This window comes from Homo sapiens, chromosome 5, assembly GCF_000001405.40.
Source record: "Homo sapiens chromosome 5, GRCh38.p14 Primary Assembly".
Lineage (NCBI taxonomy): Eukaryota > Metazoa > Chordata > Mammalia > Primates > Hominidae > Homo > Homo sapiens.
In genome coordinates, this window is record NC_000005.10 from 174,127,921 (window position 1) to 174,148,742 (window position 20,822).

Sequence of the window (20,822 nt, forward strand, 5' to 3'; positions counted from 1 at the left end):
TAAGAAATTAGGCAAAGAAGATGGACCGTTCCTTCACTGAAAGGAAAATCCAACTGGCTAAACAATATGTGAAGAGAGGCCCAAACTCACTAGTAATGAAGGGCACAAAAATGCGAACGGCAATGAGATAATCCATTTGGATCTATGAGTTTGACAAACATTAGCATGTGAACAACACCAAGTGCTGGTGGGGATGTGGGGAGACCAGAGCTCTCCTACTCTGAAGCTGGAATATAATTTGGCAGAGTCTTTCTTTTTTTTGTTTTTTTGATTTTTCTATATATATATATTTTTTTAATTATTACACTTTAAATTCTAGGGTACATGTGCAAAACATGCAGGTTTTTTACATATGTATACATGTGCCATGTTGGTGTGCTGCACCCATTAACTCATCATTTACATTAGCTATATCTCCTAATGCTATCCCTTCTAGAAGGTGACCTGTAACACTTAGCAAAATTAAGCACACCTGTGCCCTATGTCCCAGTTAGCACATTCCTAGGTATACAATCCGGATCAATTCTTTCCAATGTCTGCAAAGGAAGATGTACTACGGTAGGTGTTGCTAGGCTCTGTGTGGAAGTGGAGGAGAGCGTTGAAGTCAACCTGGGTGTCTGTCATTAGGGGCAAGGACAAGTACAATGTGGTGGATACACACTGTGTGGGATACTATGTAACAGCCAGAAACCATAAATTAGGTGTACACACAGCTGCATGGAAAGGTCTCCATTCAACAAAACTGGGAAGCAAGTAGGAAATCCAATGAAATTAACCCCATGGCACAATGTATCTAAATTAAATACATCACACACAAAGCTATATTACCTATTTCATTAGAATCAATGCATATTTAAAGATGTGTATGAGACATAGTAGGCTGGGTGCTAAGAGAGTTCAGTCTAATAAAGAATCAGGGAAGGCTGGGTGCAGCGGCTCATGCCTGTAATCCCAGCACTTTGGGAGGCCGAGGCGGGCAGATCACCTGAGGTCAGGAGTTTGAGAACAGCCTGGCCAACATAGTGAAACCCCATCTTTACTAAAAATACAAAAATTAGCCGGGTGTGGTGGCAGGCACCTGTAGCCCCAACTACTTTGGAGGCTGAGGCAGAAGAGTTGCTTAAACCCAGGAGGTGGAGGTTGCAGTGAGCTGAGATTGCACCACTGCACTCCAGCATGGGCAACAGAGTGAGATTCCATCTCAAAAAACAAAAAACAAAAAACAAAAACAAAAAAAAGAATCAGGGAGGAAGGAGAGAAATTTAAAATAAAGAAACAGAGCGTCTAGGCAGACACTTGGAAGATGTCTGACCACAAGTCTAGGTAGTAGAGACAGGAGTGGACTGGGACAGAGAACCCAGTGAGGGGCTACTAGAAAAGCCTGGGTGCAAAAAGATAAGTGGCTCACGTCTGTAATCCCAGCACTTTGGGAGGCTGAGGTGGGCAGATCGCTTGAGATCAGGAGTTCAAGACCAGCCTGGGCAACATGGTGAGATCCTGTACCTACAAAAAATACACAAAAAATTAGCCAAGCATGGTGGGGTATGCCTGTAGTCTCTGCTACTCAGGAGGCTGAGGTGGGAGGGGAGGATCGCACAAGCCTGGGAGGCGGAGGTTGCAGTGAGCCGAGATCACACCACTGCACTCCAGCCTGGGTGACAGAGTGAGACCTGTCTCAAAACAAACAAACAAACACACACAAAAGAAAAAGAAAAAGAAAAAGAAAAAGAAAAAAGATAAGACTTGAGCCAAGTCTAGAAATAACGTGATTCCAACAGATTTAAGGGACACGTGGGAGGAGGCAGAAATGACGGGATGAGTGATGGATTGAATGTGGAGGGTGAAGGAGAGGGATGCATCTAGAATACTTCTTGTGTTTCTGCACACCTAAGTGGACTGTGCCGGCATTACCAGGACCGGGAACCCATGAGGAGCACCAGATTTGGTGTGAAAATAATGAGCTTCCTTTGGATTGTCCATAGAGGATAAAATTATTGGTGTGTCCATGACGAAGTGTGTGAATGTTTTACTGCAAATAAACATTTGGGCAACACACTTGAGCAGGTTCCCTAATATTCCACATGCTGCCATGCTAAATTAGCCTTTACAAAATGGCTAAGATGACTTAATGAAATGAATTTCTGGACCCAAGAAGAAAGCGAATAATATTTATATCTCAGTGAAGGCCAGAATTCGGGCTGACCCAGACTGAATAAAAGGTTTTCGTTTGAAGTTTGAACCGAAATACGGCAGTTTATTTTTAATCTCTGAGTTATAAACTGGGATTTGTGCAAACAATTTGATTCCCTGTGGACTCCAAATCGTGATGAATATCAATACTTTAGGGCTTTCGTAATACAATACCAGAGTTTATTGAGGAAAATAAATACTCATGACAGCGACAAAGATTTCATTTCCCAAACTCTCAATTCATGTAGCAGTTGGCCACTGCAAGGACCAAGGCCTGGGAATGTATCTATTTGACCTACACAAAGGCTCAGAGAGGAATAAGACTCATCTTTAGATGTTATACTGAACTCCACAAGGTCTCACTAGAGGTCTGAGCAGAAAAGAGTGAAAATGAGATGAAAGGTGGGGCAGGGCACTGAACTCACAGCCAAAAAGCCTGGGTTCCAGTTCTGCCACAGACTCGTCGGGGGGCCTTGGACGAGTCACCTCTGTGTACCTCCCTTGGGTTCTTCTGTTGCTTCATGGATAAAAATAAGCCTGTCCAATGATAGGATCTCTGAGTTCTTTCCCTATTTGATTCCAATACTCTGCTCTGTCCCAACCCTCTGTTTCTACAACCATGTTCTAAAACAAACAGGCTCACTTATGTTCTGTTTTTTACCAAAGATGTTCCCACTCCTGATCACTATGGACCCCTCATCATTATGTCCTTCATGTTTTCCTCTTTAAATAAACTCTTTAAATAAAATAAAACTTTTTACTTAAAAAGTTTTAAGTAAACCTCTCTGGTCCATTTTAAAAAAGTATGAAGTAAATGGTAGTAGATATGCTCAATGATACGGCTGAGATAACAGTAGCGTTCGAAGGCACCGATATTACCTTTTGGTCTGGTAGTTGGGAAACAGATCAGGAAGGTGACGGGCTGTCCCAAGGAGCCTTATTTGCAATCGGCAGGCAGCACGTACAGGGCTGGGCCCCACTTTCTCAGTGAAGGAAGTGGTGCTCAGAAAGAAAGCAATTCCCGAGACTGCACAGGTAAAAATCAGTGTGATCAGCTGTCTCAGCCTGCCTGGGACTGTCCCAGTTTGAACACCGGAAGTACCACATTCCATGAAACCCTTCCCTCAGTTTGGGACCATTGGGCATCCTAGGAAGGTGCAGTCTCAGGGGTTTTACAGTCCTTGAGTAAAGATCATTGATTCATAAGAATCAGCAGGAAGGTGGCAGCTCTTTGGAGTCAGGCAACAAACCCCACCAGGTACTGTTTTGACGAGGCCTTAAAGGCGAATGCTTGTGCTTAGAATATGTCAAAAACAGCTCTCACAGGTCTTTAACTTTTCTTCCTGGCCAGCATCAAGGCTGTATCTTTTGGCCTACAGATTCCTGCTAATTTGGGTCAAAAACAACTCTGATATTAGACACACACGTCATAGGTTGAATTGTGACCCCCTCCCCAACCCTGGCCAAAAAGATTTGCAGAGGTCCTTATCCCTGGCACCTGTGAATATCATCTTATTTGACAAGAGGGTCTTTACGCATGATCAAGTTAAAATGAAGTCATTAGGATGGCCGTAATCCAAAAGGGCTGGTGTCCTTATAAGAAGGGGAAAATGCCATGGGAAGCCACAGGCCTGGGAGGGGAGAACTCCACGTGAGAATTGGGGGTGAGGATTGAAGGGTGGCAGCTGCAAGCCACTGAATGACAAAGGTTGTTAGCAATTAGCCAGGAGCTGGAAGAGGCCAGGAAGAAACTTTCTCTGCAGGTTTCAGAAGGATTTCCCCAGAGCCCTGCAGGCACCTTGATTTCTGTCTTCCAGCCTCTGGTGCTGTGAGGCAATACGTTCTTGTTTTAAACCACCCAGTTTGTGGTGCCCTGTCACGGCAGCCTTAGAAACCCACGCAGTGCTCAACTGAACAGCTGCATGGGAGAGTGGTCTTTCTAATACACTGCATCTGACTATGTCACTCCCCAAAGCAGAACCTGTCGTGGCTCCTACTGCATATGGGATAGAGCTCAAATACCGTTTCTCTCCAACATTCTCTCCTGCCTTGTTTTCTGTGTGAACTGTGCTCCAGCCACACTTATCTTCTTTCTCCTCTTTGAACTTGCCAAGTGGGTTCCCAGCTTAGGGAGGGTCTTGGAAGACTTCCTTACAGGAAGCCTTGGGCTGAGTTTTCATGCACTGCCCTGGGGTCACTGTGCCTGCCATTGACAACCTTCAAAACTCTCTGTCCCCAGTTGGTTTCTCCTCACACTCAAGGAGTTAGTTCAGATGTCACCTCTAAAGGGGCTTTGCTGTGCATGCCATACAGGCCACTCTTCCCGGGTCACTCACCACCCTGCCACCCTGTTTCATTTCTATCATGGCAATTATTGCTAGCACATATCATCTATCATGTTCGTTTATTTGTCTATATGCCTATTGCTTGTCTTCCCTCACTAGGATACAAGGTGCATAAAGGCAAGAATCTTGTCTGTTTAGGTTTTTACGATGTCTCCAGTGATCAGAACTGGGTCTGGCAGCCAGGAGAGCCTGACACAGGTATGCTAAATAAATGGATAGTCACACATAACAGGTAGAGCATTGTGCTAGGTCTGGTTTAAGTGCATTAAATATGCTAACGGTTTTCTAAATCTTTTTTGCAATTGCATGAGAAACACAGAGAGGTTTAGTGCTTGGCCAAGGTCACACAGCTGCTAAGCAGCAGAGTTAAGATTTGAATTGAGAGCCAGCACTGTTAACTGCCATGCCACCATGCCATGCTACCTCTTGGTGGAAGGAAAGAAAGCTGTTGCAGTCATTGTGTCTGCTCAGAATTCTCGCCAACTCTTCTCACATGCTCACGCAGGGTACCCTCCAGCTGCTGGGTGTACCTCGGCCACAGCCTCCTCCCACTGCCTCCCAGGTATTATTATTGCTTATCTAGGCTTCCATCTCTCTTACTATACTCCTTGACACCTGCTGCTGTCTGCTTTCCTGTCCTCCATGGGGTGTGTCTTCAAAGTCCTATCAATGATCACTTCCCAACTTGTCTGTGTATTTCTCATCCTCCCAGGTCCTGGTTGTGCCAAGTTCTCTCTTGCCTCCGGGCTGTTGCGCATACATTGCCTTTGCCTGGAATGCTTTTCCCCTCTCCTCCTCCTGGTTCAGCCCCCTTGCCATTTGAGGTACATCGCCTCCTCCAGGAAGGGTCTCTGGGTTGTGTGGTTGAGTTGGGTGCCCTTGCCACGGGTGCTCACAGCCTGTTAATAGTTCTCCCATCATGGCAGCCACGTGAGTGGGGGCCAACTGTCTGTTTACCCAGCTGCCTCTCACACTATGCTGCAGCCACATGGGGGCTCCAATCACTTCTTGGTTATCTCTCTATCTCCCACATTCAGGACCTAGAAGAGAGTGGATGCTAAGTAAGGGCTAGGTGTATAATACCACATCTTTTTATTTTTATTTTTTAGATGGAGTCTCGCTCTGTCTCCAGGCTGGAGTGCAGTAGCGCGATCTCGGCTCACTGCAACCTCCACCTCCCAGGTTCAAGTGATTCTCCTGCCTCAGCCTCCTGAGTAGCTGGGACTACAGGTGCGTGCCACCACGCCCAGCTAATTTTTGTATTTTTTAGTAGAGACGAGGTTTCACCATGTTGGCCAGGATGGTCTTGATCTCTTGACTTTGTGATCTGTCTGCCTCAGCCTCCCAAAGTGCTGGGATTACAGGTGTGAGCCACTGCGCCCAGCCAATGGCACATTTTTTTCATTTTTACTCTTGGCCAACATCTATTGGGTATCTACAGTGTGCCAGGTATCATTCTCATGCTTTCTATATGTGAACTCAATAATCCGTAAAACAACCCAATAAGGCAGGTGCTGTTATTATTCTCAATTTACAGATTCAGAAACCAAGGCATGTTGGGGGGTCATGCCACTTGCTCAAGGACACTCAGTAAGAAGCAGAGTTGACTTTCAAACCCTGACATTTGGGCTCCAGAGCCCACTCTCTCATCTACTAAACTATATCTGCAAAGGTATAACAAGCTCTCTGAGGGCCAGCCTCAAGCCCCCTGCCCCTGTGGGGCAGAGGCAGCCCTCTGGCTGTGTTGGCTATTTCCACTTTGGGGTGAGGACAGGACAGGGGGATGGAGATCATCACATCCTCATCCCTGGCCTGTGCCCTCCAAACTCCTGCTCTAGTTCTGCCCAGAGGGTAGGTATGAGGGTAAGGCTCCTTCTCAGCTCACATCTATGCTTTTAAAAAGCACTACCTCTCAGGATGCTTGGGGAGGAGGATGTGCACCCTGTCTTGCATCTAGCTGTCCTAAATTTGCTAAATCCCAAAATCTCATCAAAAATAACTATTCATTTATTATTTACCCATCATCCATCTTCCATTCATCAATTCATTCATCATATATCCATCCATCCACTCATTATCCATTCATTCACCCATCATCCATCCATCCATCCATCCATCCATTATCCACCCATCCATCATCCATCCATTCACCCATCATCCACCCACCCATCCATCCATTCATTATCCATCCATCTATTCATCATACATACATCCATTATCCATCCATCCATCCATTCATCATCCATCAATCCATCATCCATCCATCCACCCATCCATCCATCAATCCATTCATTATCCATCCATCCATCCATTCATCATACATCCATCAATATCCATCCATCCATCCATTAATCATCTATCAAGCCATCATCCATCCATCCATCCATTCATCCAGTCATCCATTCATCATCCATTTTCCATCCATCCATCAATCCATCCATTCATCATCCATCCATCCATTCATCATCCTTCCATCCATCCATCCGTCCATCCAGCCATCCATCCATCTCTTATTTATTAAGCCCTCATTCTGTACCAACCATTATTCAGAGGACTTCACAGACCTCATCTCACCTAATCCTCATAGCAACCATTGAGGTATTGTTAACTCCATTTGCAGGTACAGAAATGGGGGCTTAGGGGCTGAGCACCTTGCCCATGGTAGCAAAGCTGGGGTTCCAAACCAGGTCTGCCTGGCATTAGAATCTCCAGTGAACAGGCTACTGAGAAAAAGAATGAACTAACCAGTTACTGAGACTGGTTGTTGAGAAGGGAATGCCTGGAGAGGCAGCACCACCCTATGCAGCTGCTCATTTGCTCTGCTGGGATGATTCCCATTCATTAATTCATTCATCACACATCAAGGAGAATCTAGAGTGTTTTAAGAACTCCACTAAGATGTGTTCGCCAGGAGGGTTATGAGATACTGACCATGAGGTTCCCTGAATGGAGTGATGCAGAGGATACCTCTGAAAGGCCTTAGGCCCCCTCTGCAGAGTTCTGGCAAACTCTCTCCAGCTTTGCCTAAGCATTCTCTTCTATCTGGAATGTTCTCCTCTTCCCTCTCTGCCTTCCCCCAGCCTATTGAGCCTCTTATAATTTCAGTTACTTAACTTGCTTATGTGCTTATGCAGGCCTTTGTTCAATACATGTTTAGTGAGCACCTATGTTGTGTCAATCACTCATTCAGGTTTTGAGGATACAGTGATGAATAAGGCAGGCGGTTTCTCTGCCCCAGGGAGCTCACATTCTAGTGAAGGAGATGGGAAACACACAAACAAGATAAGGAAATGGACCAACTACTGTCCTAGGAAATAATGGAGATGGGGAGAAGGGGCTTTACTTTTGGTGGAGGTGTGAGAGAGTGATTGGAGATGAAAGGGGAGGAGCTGGCCATTTGAAAAACCAAGGACGGAGTGTCTTCAAGAGAGGGAACAGCAGGCTCAGAGGCCCTTAAAAACAAGGAGCTGGGAGAGCTGTGGTAGCTGCGGGATGTAGAATTGTTGACCCCCACCCTAAAGAGAATTAATCAGCTTTCCATCTGTGTTCCTGCAGCATTGTGCTTCCTTCTATTTGAGCTCCCACCATATGGTTATTATGGGTTATTATGGATTCATGTCTTTGTGTCCTCCATGGAACTCGGCATGCTTCAAGGTCAGGGATGGTCTGTAATGTGTGGCTAATAACAGTGAAAGCCTTACAAACCTTACAAGGTAGTTGGGAAGATTAAAGGTGATGATCTAGGAAAGGCCTTTAGTACAATTTCTGAAACTGTAAATGCTCCGCAAAGTCTAATAATTATTATTGATAGTGACCTACTGCCCACCCAGCCCAGGGGCCAACACATAGAAAGGATTGAGTCCTGTTTCCAGTGTGCAGGAAGGAGAGAAACAGGTGAGCTCGTCCAAGAGCAAGGCCATCAGGACTGTCGATGGGTCATCACCAACTGGCTGGGGGTTGTGCTTCCAGGAAAGAGCACCTGCTATGGCTCCCAGGCCACAGACAGTGCAAGAAACATAGCCTCATTTTCTATAACTTACATGACTTCTACTTCTAGCCTCCATGTTAGGGTGGTGGACACAATCAAATGTTCCCCTACTTTCTCCCAGGGTGACATCTAAGATCTAGAGGTCTCAAATACTACGCACACCTTGAGGATCTGGCTTCTCCAGTTTTTGGTAACATCCATTCAAGACTCAGGATTCCAGTCCACTGGCCCTTGGTTATCTGTCGACGTGGGCCATTTGCTCATTCAATAAAAACTCATTGATCACATCTGAAGCATCAGGTGCTGTCCTAGGTGTTTGAGATACAGACATAAAAGAAACAGACAAAATCATGCTCTTGGAGCTGCATTCTAATAGGGATGAAGATGGAGGATAGAAAATAATCCAGTAAACATCTGTCAGGTGATGAGTTATGGCGATCAGAGTGTGGAGAGTGAATGAGTGGGGGCGATGATGGACAGGACGCTAAGGTGGTGTTTAAGCCAACACCTGAAAGAATTGAAGGAGTGAGTCCCGGTTCTGCCTAGGAGCACTCCAGGGCATGTGCAAAGGCCCCAGTGTGAGCTCCGTATGTTGGAGGGACAGCCCGGAGGGTGGGGTGGCTGGAACTGAGTGAGCAAGGGGGAGACAAGGCCCGAGGGGTGGGCAGGTAGGGCCTTGTAGGTCACAGAGGGGATTGGCCTTTTGGGCTCAGTGAGACGAGGGGATGCTGGGGGATTCTGAGCAGAGGAGGAGTGACACAACCTAACCTATGTTTTGAAAGGATCACTCTGGCTGCTGTGGGAAGAAACAGCTGTAACAGGGTGAGGGTGGGAGTAAGTTAGGAGGCTGCTGTGGCAATTCAGAGGAGAGGTGGTGGCTAGGTCCAGGGTATGAGGATGGCGAGAAACATAAAAGTAGAAAGAGCTACACTAGTGGGGCATCTCCCTTGTACTTAGGTTTTGAAGGGCCAGCCTAGTATCTGCTCATTCTTCAGAGAGAATGGGTCAAGGCCGCCCTCTCAGATGTGCGGGCTGTGCTGGGTGCTGGCTGGGTGCTCGGATGCCGTTTCATTGCTTCTGCAGCCCCTGGCCACCAGCACATCTGTGTGAGCCTGTCTGGGGCCTTGTTTCCAAGACATACCATGCATTTTGGCTTTTGTGGTTTCTTTCACCCTCCTTATACTCCTGTGAGGTCTCTGCCCTGGGATCCCTCAAACCTCTTGAAGGTATTTATCCCTTCCTGGGGCTGCCTGGAGCAGAGATCAATGCACTTTCTCTAAGACTCCCCTGAAGTATCTTGATTCTCCTCTGATACCTTCTTGCTCCAAGTCTGGAGAAATCTGCTCAGACTTGAGGGGTCGAGCTATGAAGGAGGGGAAGGCCTTGTTTGTATAGCCTCATGTTTTCTCCTAAATGTTTTGTGTGCTGTAAGGGGTTTCCCTCCGCTAAGAATTTAGGTTTTTCCCTTTTCTCTGCTTTAAGCTCCAGAACAGTCCTGAGGGGGAGGGGTAAGGGGGGAGAGAGAGCAGAGAAAGTAACATGGGTGTAGAATACCAGTTGTAATTTGCAAAGATTATCCTACCTCCAAAGCAAAAGGAGCAGTTTGTTTTGGATCCAAAACACAAAAATATGCATTTCAAAAACAGCTTTATTGGGGTGTTCTTGATAAAGAATTGCACATAGTTAATGTGTATGATTTCATGAGTTTGGGGCATCTTCAAACACCTGTGATACCATCCCCACAATCAAGGTGACTGACATAGTCAGCCTACCCCCCGAAGCTTTCATGTGTTGCTTTGTTTTTGTTTGCTCTTCTTGTTTTGTGGTAAGAACACTTCACATGAGATCTACCCTCTTAACAAATTCGGAAGGGCCCAATACCATATTGCTAACTAGAGGCACAACATTGCACAGCAGAGCTCTAGAACTGTTCATCTTGCATAACTGAACCTTTTTACCCATTGAACAACTAACTCTCCATTTTCCACTCCCCCAACCCCCGGCAACCACTATGGTATTCTCCACTTCTATGAGTTTGTCTATTTTAGATATAGATATAAGTGGAATTATAAATTATTGGTCCTTCTGTGTCTGGCTTATTTCACTTAACATAATGTCCTCCAGATTCATCCATGTTGTTGCAAATGGCAGGACTTCCTTCCTTTTTATGGCTACATAATATTTCACGGTGTGTTTATACCACATCCTTCTTATCATTCATCAAATGCTCACCCTGCTCATTTCTGCCTCAAGGACTTTGTCCTTGTCATTCCCTTTATCAGGCACGTGGCCCCAGCTGGGTGCAAATGGAGTCTTCCTATGTGCCTAGCTGGGGAGAGAGATGGCTTTGATGAGCGAGCAGCCTGTCTTCTCCACGGTGGCTCTGTGCCCGCCCACCTTCATGACATCCACCCTTTGTCAATTGAGGTCTGCAGGGTTGGAATGGCCCTGTTTTGTGGGTGTAATGTTGGGGTACAATATTCAACTATTCCACCTTTCTGCACCAGTTACAACATGATTTGTCAGTCTTCTCAAAAAATTTTGATGAAATAACAATTAGGTATCATGAGCTATACTTGGAAATGAAGATACAAATAAAAAGTTGTCATTAGAGTGAAAAAGATTACACTCATCCATCTACTGCATTTTGCAAACATTTATTGAGTCCCCATATTGTGCTCAACAGTCATAGCCCGTGCCACATGAAAAGCCCACGTGAGCCGTATTTCATGATGGATGTGACAGGCTTGGTCTTCACTTACTAGTGTGATCCTGTGTGAATAATTTCACCTCTGACTCTCAGTTTTCTCATCTGTAAAATGGGAATGGTGATAAATTATGATTCAACAATGTTGCACAGAAGGTGCCTGGAAGAATAGCCTTTTCTTGGGTTTTAATATCTGAGCTCTTTCTTCCACTCCACCTCCCCGCTCCCGGTCACCTTTTTTTTTTTTTTTTTTTTTTTTTTAACAGAGACAGGTCTCACTCTGTGGTTCAGGCTGAAGTGGAGTTGTACAATCATAGGTCGCTGTAATTTTGAATTTCTGGGCTCAAGTGAACTTCCCACCTCAGTCTCCCAAGTAGCTGGGACTAAATCCATGAGTCAATGCATGTGGCTAATTTTTAAATTATTTCAGAAATGAGGTCTCACTATGTTGCCCAGGATGGTCTCAAACTCTTGGCCTCAATCAATCCTCCCACCTCAGCCTCCCGAGTTGCTGGGATTACAGGCGTGAGCCACTGTGGACAGCTTTCTCTTCCCTTTTAAGAGCTCAGACTATCTGTTCAGAAATTCTCACTTTTGAAGCCAAGGTTTGCCAACAATTGGTGCCAAAAAAAAAAAAAAAAAAAAAAGAGAGAGAAAGTAGGTCAGAGTTTAGGCCTCCACAATCTCACTTTACATGAACAAAAAGGAAAATAGTGCCTGAATCCAGGAATGGGGAAGGATTAAAAAAATTTTAATGTGAACATAATTAGCATGGAAGAAAAAGGGCAACTTGTTCTCTTTACTATTGACATTTAGACAAGACTGAGCTTGGCAATGAGAAAGGAAGAATTCCATAGAGGCCGAGTTCTGGGGCAGCACGGTTTTGTCTCTCACTACTTTCCTCTCTTCCCTTTCTTCCCATACTTGTCCCCTTGAGTTTTCTGGGAGGTAGGTGGTATAGTGTAAGGAATTTGGGTTTTGATGTCTGAAGGAACCAGATTTGATTCTCGGCTCTCTCCTTTCCTACATGTGAAAATTTGGATAGATTTTTCAACTTCTCTGAGCCTCAGTTTCTTCATCTATGAAATGGAGGTAGGAACGCCCCACTCATGGACTGAGCGAGGCAGTGGATGGTAACCGCCTGGCACATAGTAGGTATCCACATGTGATTGTTTCCTCCCCTCCCGTTTTCCCTTGGGAATCTAGGCCTGTGCTAGTATCACACAGTTGTTTTTCATTTAAATTTTTCTTAGTTCTTCTTTTTCCTAATTTCATTCTCACCTTGACTCTAGAAGCTCATTCCTGCCTCCTCATTTCCAGGTCTCCTTAGCTTCCTTCCCAGGCCCTAGTTCAGGACACTCCACCCCTCTCCTGCCCTACTCCCACCCTGATCTCCTGCCTGCATTCTCTTTCCCTCTCTCCTCCCCACTGCCCCAAAGTGATCTTCCCAACTGTAAATCTGACCTCACCACACTCCTGCTCAGAAGCTCTCAGAACTTCCTGCTGCTCTTGAGATGAGGGCCACTCATCCTGAATTTGCATTTCAGGGCCAGCTCTCACTCAGCAGATTCCCAGTAAACCCTATGCTCCAGCCATAAGGAATGACGTGTCCAATTGCAAACACATCTCCTTGTTTGACCCCCTGGCTGTTTATATGCACAACGTCCTCCTCCACCTGGCTAACCCCTATTCATCCCTCAAAGCCCAACTCGAGTCTCTCCCGAGGGAAGCCTTCTTGGCCACTGCTGAGACAGAGTTCCTCCCTTGTCTTGTTTTGTCTCTATTTTTTCTTATTCAGCTGGTCTCATGGCATTAATCTTACTGAATCCATATCGCCTGTGTGCTTGTCAGTTGTTCTACACCATACAGAGGTTCTCAGGGTGCAGAGGCTGCACCTTGTTATAATTTATTTATAAATTCATTCTACAGGCATGTATTCAGGATCTCTTCTGCCAGGCCCCTGCTGGCACTGGCAACTCAGTGGAGAACAAGACAGACAAAGTCTCTGCTTGGAAGGGACTCACACTGTAGCAGGACAGTACAGATAGGCAAACAAAGAGGTGAATGAGAAACTATCCATTGGTGATGAGTGCTATAGAAAGAAGGAAATCAGCAGGGACAGAGTGCTGGGGGTGTGTGCTGGATGCATGTTGGGTGGTCTGAGGAGGTCTCTCTGTATCTGTCGTAGAAGACACTAGAATGCCTGTCAACAGAAAGGAGGAGGGGAAGTGTACTTCCTTCTCCTTGATGCATGTGACCTCGTGACTGGTAGCAAGGTCATAAGTGAGTACCCCTGGGTTTATGTTTTCCAGAATGGCCATTCTCAGATTGGATTCAAGTCTTAACAAAGCTGACAAATGCTTATCTTTCTCATCACAACCACTGTAATTACCCTATGGGTGGAGAGACCTGGTGAGTAGGTGCCAGAGGGGAGCAAATGTGGGTTCAATATCAGGGGAAGCTCCGGAACAATGAGTGCCGTGTGACATCCTCATAATAACAGTAATTATGACAAAAATAACCCTCGCCTTCCCTTTTGCTGCTTTACCTTTTGCCATTTCTAAAGCATATTAGTAGCCAATGCCGTATTTGAGTCTCTGCAGCACTGTGAGATCACGAGCCCTGTCTGTAGGAAGGGCAACTGGAACCCACGGAGTGCAGTGGCTTTCCGGGGTCACACAACTGAACCCAATATCCAACCCCAGGTTCTCATTCCCAAATCTAGGTTCCAGAAAGGGCTGTCTTGGGAAGTAGTAAGCTCTATCAGCAGATAGGCGAGGAGAGGATGAGCATCTCGCCTCCCTTGCAAGGAGACAGAGGAGACTGAGGGATGGGAGGGAGGATGTGGGGCTCTGCTGTCCCCTCTTAGGTTCTGGACTCCTCATTGTAACACCGTGGGAACAAGATATTTTTTAGGTGCATGGGAGACCTTTCATTTCTTCACTTCCTCAACATCGGCAAGAAAGCTCCACCTTCTTCTCGGTGAGAGCTCTGCAAGCCTGCTTGCCAGGTTGAAAGGTGTGTGAAAGCTGGCCCATGCTTTGCTGCGTGAACTTTAAAATCTAACATGCTGAGCCTCACGTGAGTGCCCGAGCCTTTCCTCCACGTTCTGTCATCCCTACACTGATAAGACCTAGGACAAAGGGCTATAAAAGATGATGGAGTTTTCTGGCCGGGCGCGGTGGCTCACGCCTGTAATCCCAGCACTTTGGGAGGCTGAGGCGGGTGGATTACAAGGTCAAAAGATCGAGACCATCCTGGCCAACATGGTGAAACCACGTCTCTACTAAAAATACAAAAGTTAGCTGGGTGTGGTGGCGGACGCCTGTAGTCCCAGCTACTCAGGAGGCTGAGGCAGGAGAATTGCTTGAACCCGGGAGGCAGAGTTTGCAGTGAGGCAAGATTGCGCCACTGCACTCCAGCCTGGCGACAGAGCGAGACTCGTTCTCAAACAAACAAACAAACAAACAAGATGATGGGGTTTTTGATAACCATTTGAAAGGTCACTATTTGGTTTCCAGGCTCAGACAGCCACCCCTAGGGGGGTCTCCCAGGTGGGGAAGTGAAGTTGGAATTGGCCAATGAGCGTGTTCCGGGAAGGTGTTTGTGGCAGCACTCTGCATTGGAAGTGCTTTCTTGTACCATGGGCCTTTGTGACACCTCAGGGAGGGGAGCACCAGAGGACCTGGAGATGATGCTACGGAGCTTCATTCTCTCCAGGGCCTTTGGTCTTGCTCAGCTCTGGAGGCCTCAGTACAGAAATGGGGCCTCGGATGGAGAGCAGGCTGAGGAGTTTGCTCCTCACAGCAAAACAGGGCCACCGGCTTCTGAAAGCCCCTGGAGGCTCCAAGTCCCTGGAGTGCAGGCAGGAGGGTGTTCAAAAGGTGTGGCATCTCCAAAAACCAGTGCCTTTGACTTCAGAGCTGGCATTCAGTTCCTGCCACAGTCAACACTTGCCTTTCTGGGAGTTCTCGAGGTTGGAGGTAAGAACAGGGTCTGCTCTTGAAGTTCCTCTTAGCAGTGGCTTTGAGGTCAGACAGAGCAGGTTTGGGTCCTGGCTCTGTGGCTTACTCACTGCGGGACCTTGGACATAGCCCTCCGTCCTTTGCACTTCAAGTCCCTCATCTGTCACTGGACCCAGTACTCCCACATGGGAGGATTTATCTATGTAAGACACTTAGAGGAAGAGCTTGGTATGTGATAGCGGCTACCTCTTTTGTTATGATTGCTGTTATTGTTATTGAGGCAAGCATCACGCTCTTGGTAAAGGCTAGGAACCATTAGACTAAAATTCTTTCTCAAAGAAGTAGTGGGCTGGGAGCGGTGGCTCATGCCTGTAATCCCAGCACTTTGGGAGGCCGAGACGGGTGGATCCTCTGAGGTCAGGAGTTCGAGACCAGCCTAGCCAACATGGTGAAACCCCGTATCTACTAAAAATACAAAAATTAGCCAGGCATAGTGGTGCACACCTGTAATCTCAGCTACTCGGGAGGCTGAGGCAGGAGACTCGCTGGAACCCCGGAGGTGGAGGTTGCAGTGAGCCGAGATGGTGCCGAGCACTAACAGCCTGGGCAACAGAGCGAGACTCCGTCTCAAGAAAAAAAAAAAGAGAGAGAGAGAGAAGAAATAATGGCAACGGCTTTCAGCAATCACAGTATCAGTATCTAGGCTTCTGGTGGCAGATGCAACAACCCGTGAACACCTTTTTGGATAGGGGACCAGCCTCTTGAGTTTGGCCTTATTTGGGGTCTATGGAAACAAATAATAAACCCTTTATAATAAATAATAGTAAACAAAATGAAGGCTGATATTTTTTGAAAGTTTAATATACACCAGGCACTGTGCTAAGTGCTTCCTAATTACTAATTCTTTTAATCTTTTGAACAGCAGTATACATATGTTCTTATTAACTCTGTTTTACAGGTGAGGAAATGGAGGCATGGTGAGGTGAAGTGATGTGCTCCAGGATACTGTTTAGTCATCTGTTGCTGTGTATTAAATTTATAGCAACTTGGCAACTTACAACAACAAACACTTATTATCTCATAGTTTCTGTGGGTCAGGAATTGGAGAATGGAACCGCTGGGTGGCTCTGGGCCAGGGGCTGCCATGAGGCTGTCGTCAGGATGTCGGCTGGTGCCACAGGCATCTGGAGGCTTGGTGGAGCTGAAGACCTGTGTCCAGGATGGTTCACTCACACGGCTGCTGGCAAGAGGCCTCAGGGCTTTGTTTTCTGTCGACGGGACCCTCTCCTTGGGCTTGCTTGAGCATCCTCATGACATGGCAACTCTTTCCCCAGAGTGCGTGATCCAAGACAGACAGCAAAGTCAAAGCTTTGGACCTAGTCTTGGGAGTCACATGCCATCATTTCCACTTTATTCTGTTTGCTAGAAGTGGATCACTAAATCCAGCAGACACCCAAAGGAAGGAGAACTAAGTTTTAACTTTTGAAGGAAGTGTTAAAGAATGCATGGACACATTTTAACACCACCGTAGTCATGGACCTAGTAAGATTTCTTGCTAGGATTTAAAGCTAAGTCATCTTGGTCCAGAAGCCTGGGGTCCTCCTGCTGCCTCGACAGGCCACCTTATACCCTCAGGAGTGATGTGACATTGTTGGTCAGTCTCAGATGTAAACAGGCATCACCTGAGGGTGACTGGAGCATCCAGAATCAGGGATGAGCTGCACCTGACCTAGAACTTAGGATGTGTTTTTACTGGAAAACTGATGGGTCAGAGAGGGGCCTGAGTGGCTAAGGTTATCAGCTGTCCTCTGCTCACCTGTTGTCAGGGAACACTGAGGACCACCATCACTCAGAGTGTCAGGAGTGAAGGGTGGGGGGTCCCAGTGTGTGTGTGTGTGTGTGTGTGTGTGTGTGTGTGTGTGTGTTGTAGGCAGCAGGCATAGGGACTGTGCAGGACCTTGAAGGCTTTGGTAAGGAGTATGGGTTTCAAACTGTGGGCAGGTGGAGCCAGCATAGGGATTCAAGCAAAGGAGTGACGAGGTCAGAGGCAACCTCTAGACAGGGCTGCAGGGTGGAGAGAGGTGAGCAGCTGAGGCTGGGCACCAGGTGGTGGGTCCAGGACACCATGGCCAGGTCTGGTCCTGAGAATGGAGAGGAGGCCTATGGAGAAGACTGTTGCTGGGATTTGGGGTCAAATTGGCCTTGAGGTAGACGAGGAAGAGAAGCATCCAGGGTGACACCTGCTTCATTAGGTGCAAGTCATGGCCAGGTGCTGGTGCCCTTGTGAGAAGAGGACTTAGAAGCAGAAGGAGCTGGATGGGGGAGGATGAAGAGTCCAGCTTTGAGGCTCCTAAGTGAGCTGCCTGGAGTTCATTCATGGGAGAGGACCAGAGCACTTGACTATTTGTGTCTCGAGCTCAGTAGAGTCAGGGCTGGGGAGCAAGTCTGGGGAGGCATTGGTACCCTTGTGGACTAGGGAACTGAGCAAGGTCTGTGGGGAAAGAGAGACTTGAACTTTAAATCTTCTCTGAGCCTCATCTTTCTCAGCTGTAAGTTGGGGATAAGCATTATTCTGAAAACCATGAATGTATAGTGTATGCAGAGGGCTGTAGCATACCACTCAGATCCATTCTGAGTCCTCTCCTCATACCAGAACGCCCAGGGAATTGGGAGGAATGTGGGTTCCCCTAGGGAAGCAGAGGAAGCTAGAATTAGGGGGCTTCCCTCCAGAACTAGATTATGGGTGTATCTGATTCTTGCCAAAAACAAGGCCCTGCTCCCACCAGTTCCCAGAGCCTGGCTGTGACTCATTTCTTCTGCCTTTGTTTTGACTGGTGCCTGATGCAACCTGGCTCTGCAATGATGCAGATGCTGATGCTGTTGCTAGGCAACCGAGCTACAGCACGAATCCTGAGAGGCCTCTGTTCCGCTCACCCCCAACCCAGGGCTGCTGACAGTGGTTGATTTGGAACTGGCTGGAAAAATTGGAGACATTCTTATGAGAGTCCACGGGTATGTTAGGGCAAGGAGTGCATATGTGTGTGATGGTGAGAGAAAGGCAGCAACGATAACAACTTCCACTTACTGGGGGCTTGTTCTGTGCCAGTCACTGCATGAATTAACACATTTCATTTTGTATAACATATAGCAGCCTCAGGAGGCATGTTCTAAACTCTTCCCATTTTACAGACAAGAAACCCAGGACTTAGAGAGGAAAGGGGGCTTATCCAAGTCCACTTAAATATGAAGTGGTAAGGCTGAGAGGGAAACCTAGGCCTGTCTGATTCCAGGGCTCCAGAGAGCACAAGGAATTTGGCTTTGATTTCTTCTCTGCTCCATCCATTGTCCACTGCAACACGTTCTCTGCAACACAACCAGGGGTTTGTTTGGAAAACATGAAGCAAATCATGTTGTCCTCCAGCCATGGCTCACCCTCGGGCATCACACTCCTTCCTCTCCATGCCCTCATTCCTTCTTTGCTGTTTCTCCTTCCTTTTCTCTGAGTGTCATGATCTTCTTGCTTCAGAGCAGGTGACTTCCTCACCTTGACCTTGGTCGTTCTCCCCCCTCCTTCAGGTGTCAGTTCAGATCCCCCTCATCCCCGCAGCCCACCTTCCTACCCTGAAGCCATGGGGTATTTCTTCTCCCAGGACCCCATCCACCACCCTCTGCCATTCACAGGGCTTTCCTCTATCAGGCGCTGGGTTCCAGTCTTGTTCGCCCCATTATCTACCCCAACACCTGGCCCAGGATCTGGCACACAGGAGAGGGGAGAGGCCGTTTAGTACTTTTTCAATGAATGAGGATCTGAAAAGTGAACGTTAGAATTTGTGAAGTGAGCCTTCTGGGGTCTTTGGTCTTACATTGATTTGAGAGGAAGCAGCTCACTAATATTTCTCTGTCTCTATTCTGGGCCAGACATTTAGCTGAGGGTTTATTGCATGTTACTAAATAAGTGCTCTGGCCTTGCAAACAGCCCATCCTGCAGGTGAGGAATCTGTGCAAACAGCCCATCCTGCAGGTGAGGAATCTGTGCAAACAGCCCATCCTGCCAGTGAGGAATCTGTGCAAACAGCCCAACCTGCAGGTGAGGAGTCTGTGCAAACAGCCCATCCTGCAGGTGAGGAGTCTGTGCAAACAGCCCATCCTGCAGGTGAGGAGTCTGTGCAAACAGCCCATCCTGCAGGTTAGGATCCTGTGCAAACAGCCCATCCTGCAGGTGAGGAACCTGAGGCTCAGAGACCGGAAGTGACTTGCCCCAGGTGGCACAGCTTGTGATCATGGTGCCAGGATCCAAGCCCGAGTCCACCAGTGCCATGGCTCTGCTAGGAAGCCCCAGGTCTCTTTGAAGGGCAGTTAAAATAAAACTGCACAGAAATAAGAGCCTTGACATATTCTCATTTCCACAGTGTTCACAGACACCTTCAGTTTGGAGACAACACCTGCCAGAGAATGAAAAGGCCAACCAGATGAGAGGGTGGGTGCAGGGGTGTGTGGAGAACCATGGGGGAGAGGAGTTATGGGAAAAGCAGGTAGAGTGAGCTGTAGCCCTGCCCAGCATGGGTCTGGCCTCTGCCCAGGACACCAGGAGCCTCCTCCTCCCTGCACCATGCTCAGCAGGACCACCGACCCCAAACCAAGCCCCTACCAAAATACATTGCTCCTTCATAGGTCAAGGAACTGGCACCACTGCCTTCACCTCTGCACCCTCAGCAGGCTGGCCACTCTGACCCTGCACCCCGAGGAGCTGGGCAGAGTGTCCCAAGGCTGAGAGGAGCTGTGGCCCCTCTGGACTGCAGTAGCTCTTCTCAGGAAGAGGGGCAGGAGACACTTGAAGAAGGAAGGCAGAGAGCTCTAAACACAGACTGGAGGGTGGGCAGGGAGGGCAGGGGCAGGCATTGGGGCAGGGCAGGGCACCTCAGGGGCAGGCAGGGGAGACCACCTCTCCCTCTCCAGGGTAGCAACAGAGTGACTTCCTCCACCTATGACCTCTGCAGTCTTATTTTCTTTTCACAAAAGTGAGGCTTATTACCTCCACATTACAGAGGACCTGGAGTCTCATTCATTCATTTATTCATTCATCCAACAGGTTTTATTGAGCACCAGTTAAGCACTAGGCATCTCCACTTGGATGCCTAACTGGCACTGAAACCTCCCTAACCTCTTCCTTTCTCAGTCTTCCCATCTCCCTCGGTAACTCCCTGTTCACCCCTGAGGACAGCCCTTCGCTATTCTCTTCCACATCTTACACTTCCGTGCCTTCCTACTTCCTCCACTTCTGACATATGGACAGACCAGATTCACTTCTTCCCAACTCTACTACCCCCTCCCTGGTCTCAGTGGCCCTTCTGTGCCAGGGTGTGGGCATTAGTCTCCTGATTGGTTCCCTGCTCCCCTTCTCCCCTTTATAAATCACACATTGGATCATGTCCAGCTTCTGATTCAAAATTTCCATGGCTTCCTGGAGGACCTTGAAGGACGTGCTGTTCCTACCCAATACTACTTGCCTGAGATGAATTGCCCTCTGCCCACCTCTCTCCACCCTCATACCTGTCACAGGCCCTTTGCTTTTGTGTCCTTTGTGTTCCCCATTTTTGCATGGCTGACATTCATGCCTCAGCTCATGT

General features: G+C 47.5%; 2 annotated features.

Annotated features, from left to right (window-relative positions):
• Positions 16,847-17,347: an enhancer, noted in NCBI's record as "H3K27ac hESC enhancer chr5:173571770-173572270 (GRCh37/hg19 assembly coordinates)". NCBI's record gives its function as "activates a minimal SCP1, AML or CMV promoter by ChIP-STARR-seq in naive H9 embryonic stem cells {active_cell/tissue: H9 hESC(naive)}" and the evidence as "EXISTENCE:reporter gene assay evidence [ECO:0000049][PMID:30033119]".
• Positions 17,952-18,152: a silencer, noted in NCBI's record as "peak5582 fragment used in MPRA reporter construct". NCBI's record gives its function as "represses an SCP1 promoter by STARR-seq MPRAs in K562 erythroleukemia cells {active_cell/tissue: K562}" and the evidence as "EXISTENCE:reporter gene assay evidence [ECO:0000049][PMID:32103011]".